The sequence below is a fragment of the Homo sapiens genome, chromosome 11 (assembly GCF_000001405.40).
Source record: "Homo sapiens chromosome 11, GRCh38.p14 Primary Assembly".
NCBI lineage: Eukaryota > Metazoa > Chordata > Mammalia > Primates > Hominidae > Homo > Homo sapiens.
In genome coordinates, this window is record NC_000011.10 from 94,727,088 (window position 1) to 94,743,203 (window position 16,116).

The 16,116-nt window shown below is 44.6% G+C and overlaps 1 protein-coding gene and 1 long non-coding RNA gene across 7 annotated transcripts in view, besides 1 other annotated feature; one reads left to right on the plus strand and one right to left on the minus strand.

Annotated features, from left to right (window-relative positions):
• PIWIL4-AS1 (PIWIL4 antisense RNA 1) overlaps nt 1–13,268 on the minus strand; it is a 195,024-nt gene extending 181,756 nt beyond the window's left edge. For all 3 annotated transcript variants that reach the window (NR_135093.1, NR_135094.1, NR_135096.1), the window contains exon 1: nt 13,131–13,268. This is a non-coding gene — a long non-coding RNA (PIWIL4 antisense RNA 1). The remainder of the gene's footprint in view (nt 1–13,130) is intronic.
• The window catches only part of AMOTL1 (angiomotin like 1), a 170,289-nt gene that overhangs the window by 20,628 nt on the left and 133,545 nt on the right, over nt 1–16,116 (plus strand). For 3 of the 4 annotated variants that reach the window (XM_005273798.5, XM_011542626.3, XM_006718772.4), the window contains exons 2-3: nt 1,834–1,968; nt 13,851–13,901. In XM_005273798.5, coding sequence (XP_005273855.1) covers nt 1,884–1,968; nt 13,851–13,901 — 136 coding nt within the window. In that variant the 5' untranslated portion in view covers nt 1,834–1,883. Of the gene's footprint in view, nt 1–1,833; nt 1,969–13,421; nt 13,902–16,116 lie in introns of those variants that run through there. The other variant, XM_047426452.1, reaches the window with a different exon arrangement.
• Nucleotides 7,267–7,939: an enhancer, noted in NCBI's record as "OCT4-NANOG-H3K27ac hESC enhancer chr11:94467520-94468192 (GRCh37/hg19 assembly coordinates)". NCBI's record gives its function as "activates a minimal SCP1, AML or CMV promoter by ChIP-STARR-seq in primed H9 embryonic stem cells {active_cell/tissue: H9 hESC(primed)}" and the evidence as "EXISTENCE:reporter gene assay evidence [ECO:0000049][PMID:30033119]".

The following is a 16,116-nucleotide window of genomic DNA, read 5'->3' on the forward strand; positions in this document are numbered from 1 at the left end:
ACCTAGGCCACTGGGCCAAGAGAGATGGGAATCTTCTTTGAAAACCACTCTTTGGTTAATCACTAAAGCCTATTTTTGTCAAACAAAGCTCTTGGAGTCTCTACTTCACTTCCCAAAGATACTGCAAAGATTAATGAAGTGATTTTGAATTACCTGTTGTAAATAAGTGTTGCTTTTTAAGGATGTAGTATTATTGTTAATACTATTTAATAATCAGCAAAGATATAAAATGTTGGATATTTACTTCAGTTGATTAAATGATGATACCAGTGTGATTATGGCCCAATATTGGATTTCTACTCCAGACATGTTTTTAGTTTTGCACAGAGAACGTGTCTGGTTCAATGGCAGACTACTTCTAGCCTCAATCAGCCACCTCTTGTGTGCTGATGTCTCAGTTGGCTAACGGATAAATAATGCAGCTTCCTCAATCCACTGACATGGGTGGATAGGTAGCCTTTGTATACAAAAGCATATTATTATAGGCTGCAAGTCTGGGAGGCCTGAAGAGGTCTTTGCAAGAGGAAATTAAGCCCAGAGAAAGTAACTGGTTTGCCCAAAGTCATCCAGTTAGTGCAGAGTCAGGGCTAAAATCTGGATTTATTGATAAGTCTAACGTTCTCACTATTACACTGTGCCATATTCACTCTGGTCTAGAACTCCCTTCCAAAATTTTTGGGTAATTGGATTCAACACAAATTGCTAGAGAAGCAGTACCCAATAAAGTGCACTACATTCTTTGGTACTTCCTAGTATTTTATTAGATATTGTTATTTGTTTGGTGCATCTCCCATAAGTATCATATTTTTCCAGGCAGATAGCCAAAAAGCAACAAGTCAATCTACCATGTCTGCAGTCTGGCAGGCAATGCAGGAACCCGCAGGGCAACTCTGAACAGCATTCTAGAGACCAAATTAAGCCAGCTGGGCTGACTACAGCAAATGATGATTGGTGCCTATCCTAATTAGGCTGACAGGACTTCTACTGTGTGGATGTCCCACTTGCTGCATTCACAGATGTGATGAATCAGTCATGTTCAATTACTCAATCACTTTCATTTGAGAACCTGCTACATGCAGAGCGTTATCAAGATCTCTTTGTAATATGGGCAAGAGTTTGGCCATGAGTTGTAATCAGCCCAGGTACAGTTTGCATATAGAGAGATTCTTCAGGCTGGCCTTCTCAGTGGTGGCCAATGGAGTGGGAATGATCTTTTTACGAAAGCCAAGAGCCCTTGTAACTGTGCCTTTCTATTATAGTTTTCAAAAGGAAAAGGAAAATTGGTCTCCATGGTCCCTCTTGGCTCTGAAGTGTTCTTTTAAAATAATATTTATTGCATACCTTTTTGAGATTACAAAAGCAATACATGTTCATTGTTGAAAATGCAGAAAATTACAAGGAAGATAAAAAGTAGTCATAATTCTAATACAATGAAAACTGCTTCTAACTTATTAGTTCAAGTTTTTTTAGTCATTTTTTAGGCAAATAGAAGAGTGTGTATCTTTTAAATAAAATTGAGATCCCACTATATCCTGCCCTGAAATTCTAGGAGTCTATAAACTATGCACAACTAAATAGTAAATTTCTTGCTCAAAGCCTGGCATACAATAGTCATTCCACAAATATTTGTTAACTGAATGGTGAGGAAAACCTGGTTTGTGGGCTTGAGCAACTTCACACTCAGGCCATACCCAAATCTAGACAACGAGCTTTGTGTGCCAAAGGAATGAAATGAGCTAGAAACTGACCACTTTCCTTCAAGAAAGCTTCTCTTCACAAAGAGAACATCAGTGGTAATTCAAATCCCTTTTTTATATTCATTATTTATTTCAGGAGATTGCTTCCATTTGATCTGAAAGCTATACATACAAGGGGCTAGAAGCATGGACCTCAGTGAAAAATGGACTTTGGAGGAAGGAGCCTGGTTATCCCATGCTGGAATTCATCATTTTGCCAGCACCAGAGCGGGTAAGGCCGTTTTTGATGTCCCTGATAGCATGGTACTCTTCAGCTTCTGCACCTCATTATGTCAATCCACTGTACTCAGTACGTGCCCACGCTGTTTGTCTTTTCAAAAGCAGCTGAGTGGAGAGGAGAGGGAATGGACTTTGAAGTCAGACAGACCTGGGTTCAGATACCGAATTCACTATTTACAAGTTTTATGGCCTTGAGAAAATCTGTCATTCCCTGGGCTCTAACATGAGAGTAAGAATGCCCACTTTGCAGTGTTATGATGAGGACCATCAGCTGTCATGTAATGAGCTCTTGCCCTGGCCAGGTGGGAAGCTGGTCAGACATCTTTGAGCACCTAACATGTGTTAGGCACTCTGTTCCTGTTTTGCTCATTTCTCCTCTCAGCAGCCTGTAAACATTCAAGTTGAGGATAAAGCAACCAATATAAACAGAGTAGGCCAGCTCTTTCCCTTCTTTATGATTATCCAATTAATGTGACTCAGCATTAAATGATGGAGATATTGTTACTTTCCTGGAGCAGAGCATACAAATATAAGAACCATACCCTGACACAGAGCTGTGGTCCTCTGTCAGGTCTAAGAGTCCGCTCCCTCCTCCATCCCTCAAATCTGATAGAGACCTACTTTGATGGTAGGAGCCATTCTATAGATGGACGATGAAAGGTTGTTGAGGTTAATGCACTCACAGATGTTTTCACAAGGATATGTCTCCCATTTGTTTGTTGTTTATTCATTTATTCAACAAATATTATTGAGTATCTATTTTATGCCAAGCACTAGTAATACAAGAACGAGAGCAAGATAGACATAGAGAACAACAGACTATACTCTCTGATGTGCCCACCTCTAAAACAGGGTAACTTATATGGCAACAAACATTTGCAGACCTTCTGCACTACACCAGGGTATGTCTTCCAACCAAGACTGCTTCACACAATGAGATAGTCGCCAAAGGGAAGACAGGAAGCTTTGAGAGAGGAAATTTGGATGCATTCCACCCAAAAACCAACTGTCATTTGTTCCTGTGCACTGTCATACTGTCATTCCAGCCTCTTTTTAGAAGTTCTTAAGCCAGCATCTCTTCACACCCCATGGAAAAAAACTAAACCTCCCTAGTTCAACACACAGCCCTTCCAGATCTGACCTCTGCCTGCCCCTCTAGATTCATCTCCTGCTGCCCATCACTAATAGCAACCCCCTCCTTCTCACTGTATCAGCCTCTTCCTGGATCCCTGAATACATCCTGCCCTCACATGCCTGTGAACCTTTGCAAAGGCTGCTATTATCATCTCTCTTCCACTTGGCCAGTTCCTACTCATCTTTGAAGCTTCTGCTTAAGTCATCTGTTCTGGGATCTCTTCCTGCCACCACCTCCTACCAACCCCCATCCTGGTCTGAAGGAGAGTCTCTCCTCCCTCCTCAGTGCTGCCATAGCCTCTGCAGATTCCCATGTCACAGCACGTATCATCACACTGTATTGTGCTTGCCTGAATCCTGAACAGCCTGTGTGCTTCTTGAGACAGATGCCTTGTTTTATTCATCTTTGTACCCCTTTCACTGTTGCATGGCAAATTCATGGTGTATATTTGATGGCTGGCTGGCTGTGTGGCTGGATGAATGAATGAATGAATGAATGACAGTTGGGACCACATCCTCTGAATATCTCTGCCTTCATTGAAAACCTTTTTTGGCTGTGGGAACCTATCTGATTATACAACTGCTTCTGGCACCACCACATCACTTCACCTTGCTTTCAGCACACCTATAGCATTTGATTCAATGACCCTAGGCTTGTTACCAAAGCCTAAAGGCAGAGGAGAGAAAGAAAGTGTGGTTTTCCCACTGATGCTTGGTGCTTTTGTAACCTAGGCAATAGAATCATCCACCAGAGAATTTTAGAACTGAAAGAAGCCTTAGGGATCACTGTAACAAAGGGGTGGCTAAAAACTCCATACTGTGACCATCTCCAAGCTCTGTCTTATCCTTCTGTGAGTTTACCATGTCATCTATCTGCAATCTTTGGGGCAAGGCTGGAACATAGGAAGGGAAGCCAGACCTGTGTCTAGGTTTGCCTAAAGAGAAGGTACTGCTTTTGGGTAAGTGACGAGCTTCTGGGGCTGAGGGAAAAGCTTAGTTCTGGTAGGCAACAGATACCATAATATCTGGTTCCAGTTCAGATAATCAGTCTATATCCTGCAAATATGAAGGCATCCAAGACAAAGCAGGGCAGTGTTGTGGTGAAGTGGGTGAAGCACAGTCACCCACTGTCAGTGGGTGAAGCACAGACACAAGGAATCAGTGTGGCTGAAATCTGTAAATCCTTGTGGGCAGCTGATACTAAGGTGGTTCTCAGAGGCCTGGGATGAGATCCAAGAAAGGTGCAGGTCCTCAGAGGACAGAGTCAGGTGCCAAAATGAGAACCTCGTGAGGTGTTGAAGTAGGATGAGGATACTGGCACTCGGAGAGGAAGTGTAATGTGCCAGAGCTAAGTCAGAAATGGACGAATTATAGAAAAATATTTTAACCATTTATTAGATATATAATATTGCCAGATGTTACACTAAGCCTTTTTTGTATAGATATAGACTATCTCAATTAATTCTCACAACAGCTTTATTCTGAGTTCATGAATGAAAAAATTGGCCTGAAGAGGCTGAGAAACTTGTACGACATCATTCAGCTCACAAATGGCAGAGCTGGAATTTAAACTGAGATCAGTCCAATCCTAGCCACCATAGGCTTCTGTCCCTCCAATTCCCTCTCCAACACTCCCTACTCTGCCTTCACAGCTTAAGGCTCTGGTGGTCCATTTACAAACTTGTATTGCTGGTTATTTGCTTGTCACAGTTAAAATGAAAACTAGCCCTGAGCAGGGCCAGAAAATAAACAGTGCTGTTGTAACATGTGCATTCTCATCCAAGCTCACAGCAGGGCTCTCCCCTACAGCCATCTCAGCTCATGCATAGCCAAGGCCTTGACCCACCTGCTTCAAAGCATCTTTCCTCGACACTCCATTTCCCTACCTCACCTCTCCCCACCACTGGCTAGTGCCAGCTATTCTATCTCTGAGGCTCAATATGGGCTGGTGGGGTTTGCATTTCTAGTGGAGTACCAGAGAAAGCCCTGGAGTGTCCAAACCTTGGGGTTTTGTTGTTGGCTTCCTGCAGTCCACAGAGAATTGCATTATCTTCCAGGGAGTCTCTGTCATCCTGTTGAGTCATAGGCCTTGAGGCAGATCCACACAACATCTGCCCTTCTATTATCCTCAGAGCATCTCGGGCTGCAATTGGGTAGGAGAGCTTCCAGGAAGCTAGCTGTGAACCCAGGATGTTTGGGGGTGATAAGGAGTTTCTGAAGGGAAGTCCCTCTTCCACTCCTGCTTCTGACACTCCTAAAAATATTCCCAGTGATCTGGGCCACTGGGTTTTCAAACTCATTTTAAAGGTCTGGAGCACATTTTCCAAAAGAAATCACATGCAGTCCCTGACATATGAAACAAAAGGGAGACAGTGTTTGGCCACTGTCGCATTTCTGACTGTTGCATTACAAGTTGATTGGGCTGTTCGGCCACCAGCCATATCAAGTATGTGGGGATTTGGTACGGAAGAGGAGTTCCTTCTCAGCAAATCTATAAAATATTTCTTCTTCCTCTTATAGATGTGCTCACTCAGCTGTTTGGGAATCCTGCTGTCTGTCATCCATGCTTCCCAGGGAACTCAACCTGCTTAAGCTCCTCTTTAGGGGAGAGGCAGGAAGTCTGGGAAACACGGCCTGGCAGCGTGGGCCAGGTGCGTCATAGAAATTCAGTGGTACTGTTCCCATTATGGTTATATAAACAGGAAGGAGCAGATTTCCTTTCTGAAGCCTCTCAGGGTCAGGGAGAGTTTTAACACTGGTCAAGGAGGAAGGAGGCAACTTTTCCTGACAGCAGTCTGTGTGCCAAACATTGCCATGTACATGATTTCATTGCATTCAAACCCTTATTGAAATCTTGTGAAGTAGTTAGTCTTATCTCCATTTTGCAGATGAGAAAACTGAGTCTTGCAAAGGCAAACTAACTAAGCCCAGCTCAGACAGCAGATTCACACTCAGGTCTTCATACTCCAGAGCTGCGTTCTATCCATTTTACTCCTGTCTGTCAGTTTCTAAGGACAACATTACTCTGCATCTCCACCTTTCTGAGAAGTTTGATCCTTTTTGTCTATTTTTCTTGCGTACTCTGTAGTGAACAGATGCATATAATGGAATCCATTATCTGTGATCTCCTACTGGCACTTGTTTCAATTAGTTCCTTAAAGTCTCTCATCTGTTTCAACTGTCGTTTTACAGAGAAGAGCACAGTATAAGCAGATTAGGACACTTATTAAAGATTAGTGGCAAAAACAGGGCTACAGCAAGGTCTCCTGCTTCTCTTTCTACCACCCACACTATGCTGACTGCTAAGGCAATAGCATCTTGGGAAAACCACTTTTCTGTGAAAGAAGAGAAGCCTCTGTGTGGTCCAAGAAGACTCGATTTGCAGCTCTGAAAGAAGCAATTCCCCCTCAGGCCTCTGCCTTAGATGCTGGGTTGGAAATATAAGATCATGGTCTCTGCATTTCAGCAGAAACTCACATTTATCCTACAGATTTTGTTTTTTAATAGTTTAGTCATAGATTTCAATTGCAGCAAATGTTTTTGTCCTTAATCTTAACACTGGGTATTTTGTCTGATTTCACTCAATAGATCTGAGTGTAAGTCGGAAGTGTATGATTTTCCTCTGCAGGGACCTTTTCTTGTATGTATTTTTGGAATCGTTCTTTATTCTGACTCATGTCCAAGTACACCTTCTAGTAGCTTCTTGGCTCAGCCAGATTTTATTTCCTTTGATATGATATTGAGTGAAGATTCTTTTAAATCTTCCTCTCTGGACTATACTTGGTAACAGGAATCTGGTGGGGAACGCAGTGCAGGAATGGGACAAATTTAATTTATTTATATATTTCCCAAAACACCTTGCTTTTGTTGATAGCACCTCCTGCATTGATATTTGGAATTTTTAGAGGACACATTTGGCATTTTTACCAAAATGAACCATTGGCTTCCTGTCAGAGTTAATTTCATTTCATCTCTTGGTCGCTGGCCTTGAGGCAGATCCATACAACATCTGTATTGTTTCTGCTTAGGATAATGATTTTTTTAGGTGAGATATGGTTAATTATTCTTCCTATGGAGCCCACTCCTGTCTTCTGGAAATTACGAAACAAAGTAGTTACCTGAGGCCTGATTTTCATTTAGGGAAAATAAAACAGCTGTGTTTTCTTTTTCCTTTTCATCAAGTCTTATAAAGAAGTGGAGCTGTGCTAAAAGGAAAGACTATTAAATCCTAGAGAACAAGAAATGCCCATTGGGCCAATTCAGCCTGGGAGCTAATGCTTCAACCAATCAATTGCAAATTTCATTTTGATGAAACCTTACTGATAGGCATGTGTTTGTCCTATCTGTTGGCTTGTCCTAGGAGGTGCAGATAAGAGACAAGGATAACAGAAGAGAGTCATGCTGAGCTCAGGCAGCCTTAGCCCCTCTTCCCTCTAAATCAGTCCTGCCCATGCTCCCCTGGGAGAGGAGGGGAGGAGGAGCGGGTATTGCTTCCCCGCTCTGCTCTGCTGTTAACTAGCAGAGGGCCTCCAGGAGAGAGAAGGCTACCTGCAGAGAAGATGATCAAAGGGCAATACCAGGAAGGAGAGGAAGGCAGAGAGATGACTCAGCTCAGCTCACTTCTTTCTGTCTTTCATGCTTGAAATTGGTGATTTCCTTGGGGGCTGGGGATGGGAAGGCCATACACACATCCTAGTGGGCCCTAGCTACTGTCTTAACTTGTTATTATGGCATTTGTGCAGCTCTTTCTTGCAAAGAGAATTAATAGCATCATTTGGCTGGATAAAGTTTCTCCCCATGTGGCATTTAGCCCCTCACCCATCTCTTGGAGAAAGAAGCATATCTGTGTGAGACTCCGTCTCTTCCTCTTCTGAACACCATCAAGTAGCTATGTAACCCCTGGGGGCCCCTTGAGTGAGAACAGCCTGTAAAGGCCCTCCTGTGGTCTGCTCCTCCAAGTAGAGCCTGCAGTCAAAGCAGACCCTGCCACCTCTGCAGCAGAGGCTGGGCAGGGGCTTGATGGCATTCCCAGACTGCTACAGGGCAGGTTCCCGGCTTACAGCTGGAGTCCCTGCACACTAAGCAGAATATCTGTGATGGGCATTGTACCCCCAAAAAAGTATGTAGAGTGTGCTCTTAGCTCTAGAAATGCAGCTAAGATTTCCTTTGATCCTGGCATTATGTCCAGTGTTGCTATATAACCATACCTCATTTACTGAGGAACGAGGGAGCTGATTGAGTTTTCCAGATAACTGAAGCGTTATGTGTTACCCTTTAAACACTTAAATTTTGTTTAAGATTTTACTGTTTTCTAATGGTTGATAAGACTTTTCTTCTATGACTTTTTAATATACTTTCTTGCCTTCCTAAACAGAAAACAGTCATACCCCAGCTTATGTTTGGGAGTGGAGCAAAATTTCATTTAGAAATTTTTGCCTTTAATCTGGAATCCATAATAATAATATCCAACTTGTTTAAACAATTCGTATACACATTTGAATATGCCTTAAAAATTCCTACTAGGACACATAAGAAGTTGTGGATGGTTTTTAGTTTGCGGATGGAGATTAGGAGAGGACAGGAAAGGAGACTTTTATTTTTCAGTTTATACTCATCTATACCAAATGTTTTTTCCTTTACAGCAAACACATTTTATTTGTTTATATTATAAAAATAAAATTAAAACATTTACAATAATATAAGGAAAGAAAGAACATTAGAGTTAGGAGTTGGGTTCCCAGGCCAGCTCCCAAAAGCCCATCAACTCACGATATATCATGGCAATAGTAACAGTGACCATTAGACACCAGGCCCCTGTATAATCTGTTTCTATGGTAAACTTCCTCTTGAGCTCCAGAAATATTTCCACCTTGTCGTTTCCTCCCCATACGTCCCACCTCTAATAAATATGCTTCCCTAGAAACAGGGGCAGGGACTCCCTCTTGCTGTCTGCTGGGGCCATGGCAGCAGGAGGCCCACCTGCCACCTGGGATGAAAAGGAGAGCAATCTGGCATGCTCTAGCCCTCTATGTGGGAAGAAAATGAACATTTATTTATGTATGTATGTATTTTGAGACGAAATCTCACTCTGTCACCCAGGCTGGAGTGCAATGGCACAATCTCTGCTCACTGCAACCTCTGCCTCACGGGTTCAAGCGATTCTCCTGCTTCAGCCTCCTGAGTAGCTGGGATTACAGGCACCTGCCTCCACACCCAGCTAATTTTTGTATTTTTAGTAGAGATGGAGTTTCACCATGTTGGCCAGGCTGCTTTTGAACTCCTGACCTCAGGTGATCCACCTGCCTCTGCCTCCCAAAGTGTTGTGATTACAGGCATGAGCCACCATTCCCAGCCAGAAAATGAATATTTATTATGTACCTATGTGTGCTAGACACTGTGCCTGGTCTGTCTCATACCTTACCTATTTCGCTGCTCCTAACAATCCAGTGAGGTATGTATTATTGTTAGGAAACTGAAAATGCCTGCCACCCAATATTCACAGAGCTGAGATGCAAATCCGTAAACTTGTGCACTGTTTATTATAACTCAGTGACACTCCAGCAGAACCATTTCTTTATAAGAGACCTATAAAAGTCAAGTGTGGGTAGGCACTTTGGACATTGCCCTGAGATTCAATAAGGTCTGTCATGGAATCCCTTATTAGAAGGGCACTGATCATCTCTGTGTCTGCAGTGCCTTGCACAGCGCTGGAAGCATGGTAAATTCCCAATAAATGTTTGTTTAATTAATATGAAACATTATTGTTGGCTCTATTCTACTTCCTAAGATAGAAAATTGGAATCATTGACTTTAGAGAATTTTCAACAGCAAATACTGAAACAAGAGAAATGTTTTCTCATTAACCCTCAGTTGATTAGGAAATTCAAATAACTAAAATGTTGTAAGGATAGTTCCTAGTTTACAAGTCATCCATTTATATGAACAAATTGAAGGCAAGTCCATTGTGAGAACAGTTTGGCAGGCTCCAGAACCTAATCACCCTGTGGAGCACTGGCAACGCTCTTCATAGGGGTAAACCTGTTGCCAGCTCCAAGTAACCAGCCTTCAAGCCAACTCTTGGAATGCAAACTAAAAGTTGGAGACAACGAACATTCCTCTAATGTAAACATACTCTGTGGTTAATATCTTCTTTTAGTAACTCAAAATTGTTAAGGGATAAAAAGAGTCCATTTGTGTCAGCTGTAAAGGAGCATGGCATCCAATAATAACTAATGTTTATTTGACTTTTACAGTGTGACACTCTCTCTCCTAGGGGCTCCAAGTGCATTAGTTTATTGCACTCTCACCACATTGGTATGCTAGGTATGATTATTATCTCCATGTTTACACAAAGCTAAGGCTGAAAGAAATTAAGTTACTAGCTAGTATTGGAACAGGTATTAGAACCCAGGTCTGGCTGATCCCAAGGCCTTCTATAGGTCACCTCTCTTGAGACACAAATGTTATTTGCTTGATTCTATGGGAAACCAGAGGAGACTGATTCTGCAGACAGCCCATCTGAGCCCATCCACTCATAAGATCAGCAGGTCAAAACCTGCTGTTAGGATCTAGGACTGATAATTGGAATTGGCAATGGCAAAGCCATTCTTGACCTTGACAAGAGCTACTCTGGCAGAGTGAGGTAGAAACCTATTTAGGCTGCTTGTAAGAGCAAAATGGAGAATGGGTGCTATCAGTGTAGACAATTATTTTAATGAATTTTGTTGTAAAGGGGAGATGAGAATTGGAGTAATGGCTGGAGATACATAGAGTCAAGAAAGGATTTTTAAAAAGACAGGATCATAGTAGTATGTCTGTATACTGACAGGAGTGATCAAGGACAGAAGAAAATATTAATCCAGGTGGGAAGAGGGAAAAGCCACATAAATGGGATCTGATCCATACAGGAGGCCATAATGGCCTTAGATGATTCATCCATAGCAACAAGAGAGCGGGAGAGTAAATAAACAGGCAAATGCAGAGTGATTGCTGGGCTGCACTAGCTCCATTTGATTTTAGTGGACATGAATCGAAAATAAGACCAGAGAGCATAATTTTGTGCTTTTTTTTTTTTTTTTGAGACGGAGTCTTGCTCTGTCACCCAGGCTGGACTGCAATGGCGTGATCTCTGCTCACTGCAACCTCCACCTCCTGGTATCAAGCGATTCTCCTGCCTCAGCCTCCTGAGTAGCTGGGATTACAGACATGTGCCACCACACTTGGCTAATTTTTGTATTTTTACTAGAGATGGGTTTTCACCATGTTGGCCAGGCTGGTCTCAAATTCAGGACCTCAGGTGATCCACCCACCTCAGCCTCCCAGAGTGCTGGAAATATAGATGTGAGCCACCATGCCCAGCCAATTTTGTGCTTCTTCAATCATGTTTAGCTGGGTGTAGATGGAAAGAAGGTGGAGAGTTATATTTTACTAGGGTTGTGTTTTCACCAGGTAAATAGCATGGAAAGAGAGCAGAACATGGATTTGAAGGTGTAAGTAAGAGAGAAATAATAATGAAACTGGAAACTAAAGTCCATAAGGAAGGAAGGAGGGTCATGAGGAGAGTGAGGGGCAGAGAAAAGGTCATGGATAAGTAAATTATAGATGCTGGTGGGGTCAAGGACACATTGGATTAAAATAACAGAGGGGATAAGCTGGAAAGGTAGGAGAGTGGATTACTTCACCTTGATATTATGCATGGTGTCGCTATGACAGCAGGGGGCTGGTGTGGTTGGAGCAGGTCAAGAAAGGGATAAGATGCAGAAGAGTTGAGAGATCAGAGTGTGACTATGTAGATGGAGAAAAATAAGAATAATCACAGGAATGATACTGGGAAAAGTGACAGTGAATCAGATGCCATTATCTTCAAGAAATGAGGTAGAACAACCAGAGGATCCATAGATGGCTGAAATAAGTAGAGGAGGCAAGTAATGCAGCCTGTTATTTTCAAGGAAAGCCAGGTATGGGTCAGAGCACAACACTGAAAGAAACATTCAGAGAGGAGGCTGAGGATATATAGATTTTGCTAGCGATGAACCATGAGTTCCAGAGGACAAATGGGAGGATTCTAGGAGTTGGGAGGGGATGGAGTGATGAGTGCAAACCCTCACCCAAACATATTTAATTCCTGGATTTGGGAGCTCAGATTATAAGAAGCAGGAAAAAGAAGAGGTTGGAGAGATAGGCTCAGCAGCTCAAGAATGCTGCCTTGCTTGGGGAGGACAGCCCCACCCCTGCTTCCCTGGGCTCCCTAAGCAATGCTGGCCGAAGGGGCTTTCTGTCCTTCATGGTGATTTGTAAACCAAAAACTGACAGTGGAAAAGCCAGAGATGGCTGAGTGTTTACAGGATGAGAGCACATTGGCTCAGATCGGGGCCCTTAGGCTGCTGCAGCTGGTGCTCTGATCACTTTGAGACAATAGAAGGCCCCCAGGAGGCTGCCCAGACTGTTGACCCTCCAATAGTCCTCCAAGGATGGAGAAAGGACAACCATTTCCATACTTGTTCCTTCCTTCCCACTGACCCTGTTATGGGCCATCAGCTGCGGGGCTCTCTCTGGAGCACACCCCAAGTCCAGCACCCTCGCCCCCTTAATGCAGAGCAGTCACAGTCAGTCCTGGGGGCTGGGGGGAGATACATAACACATCTGTCCAAGTTATCAGGCTACTGACTCAGAGGGGGAGGTTCTCACAGTGTTACATTAATTATTTTAGAATTTACAGTTCTCAGAGCATAACCATTGCTTCTACATTCTGTATTTGAAAGCAGTCAATCTTTTATAGAGTAGAAGGAGCACTGCTCTTCTCTCCTCCCCCACTTCTCCCTCACATACCCCTACCATAATGATGTCACGCATAAATTAACAACTTCTCAGCCTCGGTTTCCCAACCTGTGCAATGCAGCTCATATTACTTTGCCCACTTGAGCCAGGTGATCTCTTGAAGAGTAGGAAATAATGTTGGACTGGAGTTGGAATTCTGGTTCCAAAAGGAGGGGATTGGGGGGCATTTGGGTCTCCTCCTACCTTTCTGCAAGCTCTGAAAATCGTCCATCTCCTCAGGAGAAGCCCACAGAACAAACGATTTCCCAAGCATCAGAGGAGGGCAGACATAACATAACAGAGCAGGGAATCGGGTTAGAACGGGTTATGCTCTGATTTTTTGGAAAATGGGCAAACGGGGCGGGGACTAGGGAGGATTCCGCCAGCCGGGAGTTGGGAGGCCGCGCGCGCCTCTGCGGAGCGTGACGGCCACGGTCGCCTAGCAACGAGCGGGGATGCGCGGGGCGCCTGGGTGGGCGAGGGGTGCTCGCCGCCGCCGCCGCGCGCCCTCGGGCCCCCGGGACCGCGGGAAAACTTCGCGGCTCCTCGGCGCTGGGGCGTCGGCGCCAGGCCCGGCAGACAGAGCAATGCGCCCCGCGGGCTGAGGGCAGAGGATGCGGCCGCGGCCCAGCGCCCGGCCGGGGGAGCCGCGGGGTGGCACGCGGGGAAAGTTGGCGCGCGCCTGACCGCGCCTGGAAGCCGCGCGGTGCCAGGGCCGAGTTGTCCCCCAAGTTTCTGCGGCGATTTGTCACTCCCTGGGGATCTGGCGGTCTGAATCCCGCGGGGCCTCCGGCTCAGGGATTCTGAGCGCTGGGAGAGAGAAGCCCGCGCTTTTCCCGGGGACCTGCGCTTGAGCTGGTGCTTGTGCGGGTTCGTCCTGAATGGTAGCGATTCGAGTTGTTTTCTGCTTTTCTTCTCCCCCAGACAGTGAGTTTGTGGAAGCCTCGCCCGCATCCTACAGCCCAGACGAGTTAGGTAAGTCTGCTCATTTTGTCTTTTATTTCTTGGTCGCAATTCTGCCCGAGAACTGCGAGTTTGGGGGGCGTCCATAGGAACTCAGCTAGGGATGGGGCTGGGGTTGGAGGGCGGAGGGAAAGGGTCAGGGGACACCTGCTGCCTTCGCGGCCGGAACCGGCCTTTCCTCGGCGCTGTGCTTTCGGGGGTGGCAGGGCAAGTGTCCAATGAGCCGTGCGTGTGTGTGTGTGTGCGTGCGTGTGCGTGTGTGTGTGTGTGAGTGCGTGTGTGTGCGTGTTCGTCTGGGGCAGTGGTGCTGCTCCGAGGAGCCTGGCACAGCAAACTTCCAGAGCTGGGGCTTCTGAAACCTGCGCTCATCTTGCCGGGAGGACACAGCGGCGACTGGTTCTGACTTGCCAAGTACCTGGCACGAGAAGGACGTCGTGTGGGTCGTCCTTACCCTGAATTTAATGAAGTCAGGGGCTGAAAACGGCGGTGTAATCATTAAACTGTAAGACCTAGGAGCTGCTTCCCTCCCTGATTTCTATTCCTCAGTTAGCCTGTAGGTGTCTCGAGATAGGACATTCCATCCTCATGCCTGTCATGGTAAGTGGAGATTTGCGATGGGTGAACCGGGACACTCTTGTCAAGAGACAGGCTGAAGAGAGAGTGAAGAGAAGGAAATGCGAATGGGCAGGATCTCTCTAACTCTTCCTGCCACCCATTCTCACTCGGTGGCTTAGTGGCTCTCTTTTTTTTTTCTTCTGCTTTCAAGGTTAGTTTAGCTGCTACTGGTCTGGGCTATCAAGTCTCTCCTTACTGTTCTTTCATCACTAGCCTGAATATCTTGCCTTCCTAAGATGAAATGAAAGGATTTATTTTATGATATATGTTGACAGTAAAGGAGGAGGGGAACTGTCCACAAACAGCGGTTTAAATATGTTTATCCTCAGTAACACACTCAGCTGTGGCACCCTGTCCCTGGTCAGCTTCTTGTGCTGGGAAGAATGTCCTCATCAAGTCCCACAGGACCTGAAGCAAAATTCCACCTCAACAACGACTTTCATTCATTTCTAGGAGCCAAGCGCCCAAAATAGATCTGGATCAAGGTTGGCATTCTGTGGCTGGGAGGAGTACCATGTTTTATTCAGAGGATGTGTTTCTGACAAGTTGCGAGGCAATCACATCTCTATCAGTGGAATTGTAGACTAAATGCATGAGCAAAACTAGCTTTTAAGACATACTGTGGTGAATCATTTTATGAAATGAAAGTGACATCTAAACCATAGCTTTTCATGATGTGATTTATTAAGAGGACAGGTACTCGATGATCTGCTCCACGCATGTATAATTGTATGTTAATGACACCAGCATTGACACTCCACAGTGCGACGAAGCCATTTGGTCCTCTTAAATTGTACATAAACATAAGCAATGGTAGGATGAGCATTGCTTGCTCTGGGAAATCAGACTGTATAACTACTAAATTGTTTGCCTTCACAGAATGATTTGTGCTTCAGGAAGGCCCAGGTATTTGACCCTTTTTCATCTCCATATCTCCCTCTGGGACTTACAGACTGGACTGCCCCCATGAGGCACTGATAAATATGAGTATCCTTTCAAATTAGCAGTAGAAAATAAAAAACAATGTTTTTTTCTCTTCAGCTCCCCTATGGTAAAAGCCCAGTTTCTCATGAGGAGATTAGAGTGTGTGTCTTAGTCCATTTGTGTTGTTATATCAAAAACAGATTGGGTAGTTTGTAAACAGCAGAAATTTATTTCTCACAAGTTCTGGAGGCTGGGAATTCTAAGATCAAGAAACTGGCAGGTTCAGTGTCTGGTGAGGGCCTGCTTCCTGGTTCATAGATGTCTATCTTCTCACTGTGTCCTCAACATGGCAGAAAAGGGCCAGGGAGCTCTTGCGGTCTCTTTTCTAAGTGCCCTAATCCCTCTGGTGAGAGCTCCACCCTTATGACCTAATCACTTCCCAAAGGCCTCACCTCCAAATACCATCACATTGAGGATTAGGTTTCAATACATGAATTTTGAGGGGATATAAATATTCAGTCTATAGCAGCGTGATGGGAACCATGGGGTTCCCTTCTGGGATCTGGGCTTGCAGGGTGATAGAGAAAATAAAACAGAAGCCTGAGAGTTTGAGATCAAGGTTCTAGCTTTCACCCTGCTCCAGCTTCTTTAATAGACATGTTAACTAGCCTCAGTTTCCTTATCTGCA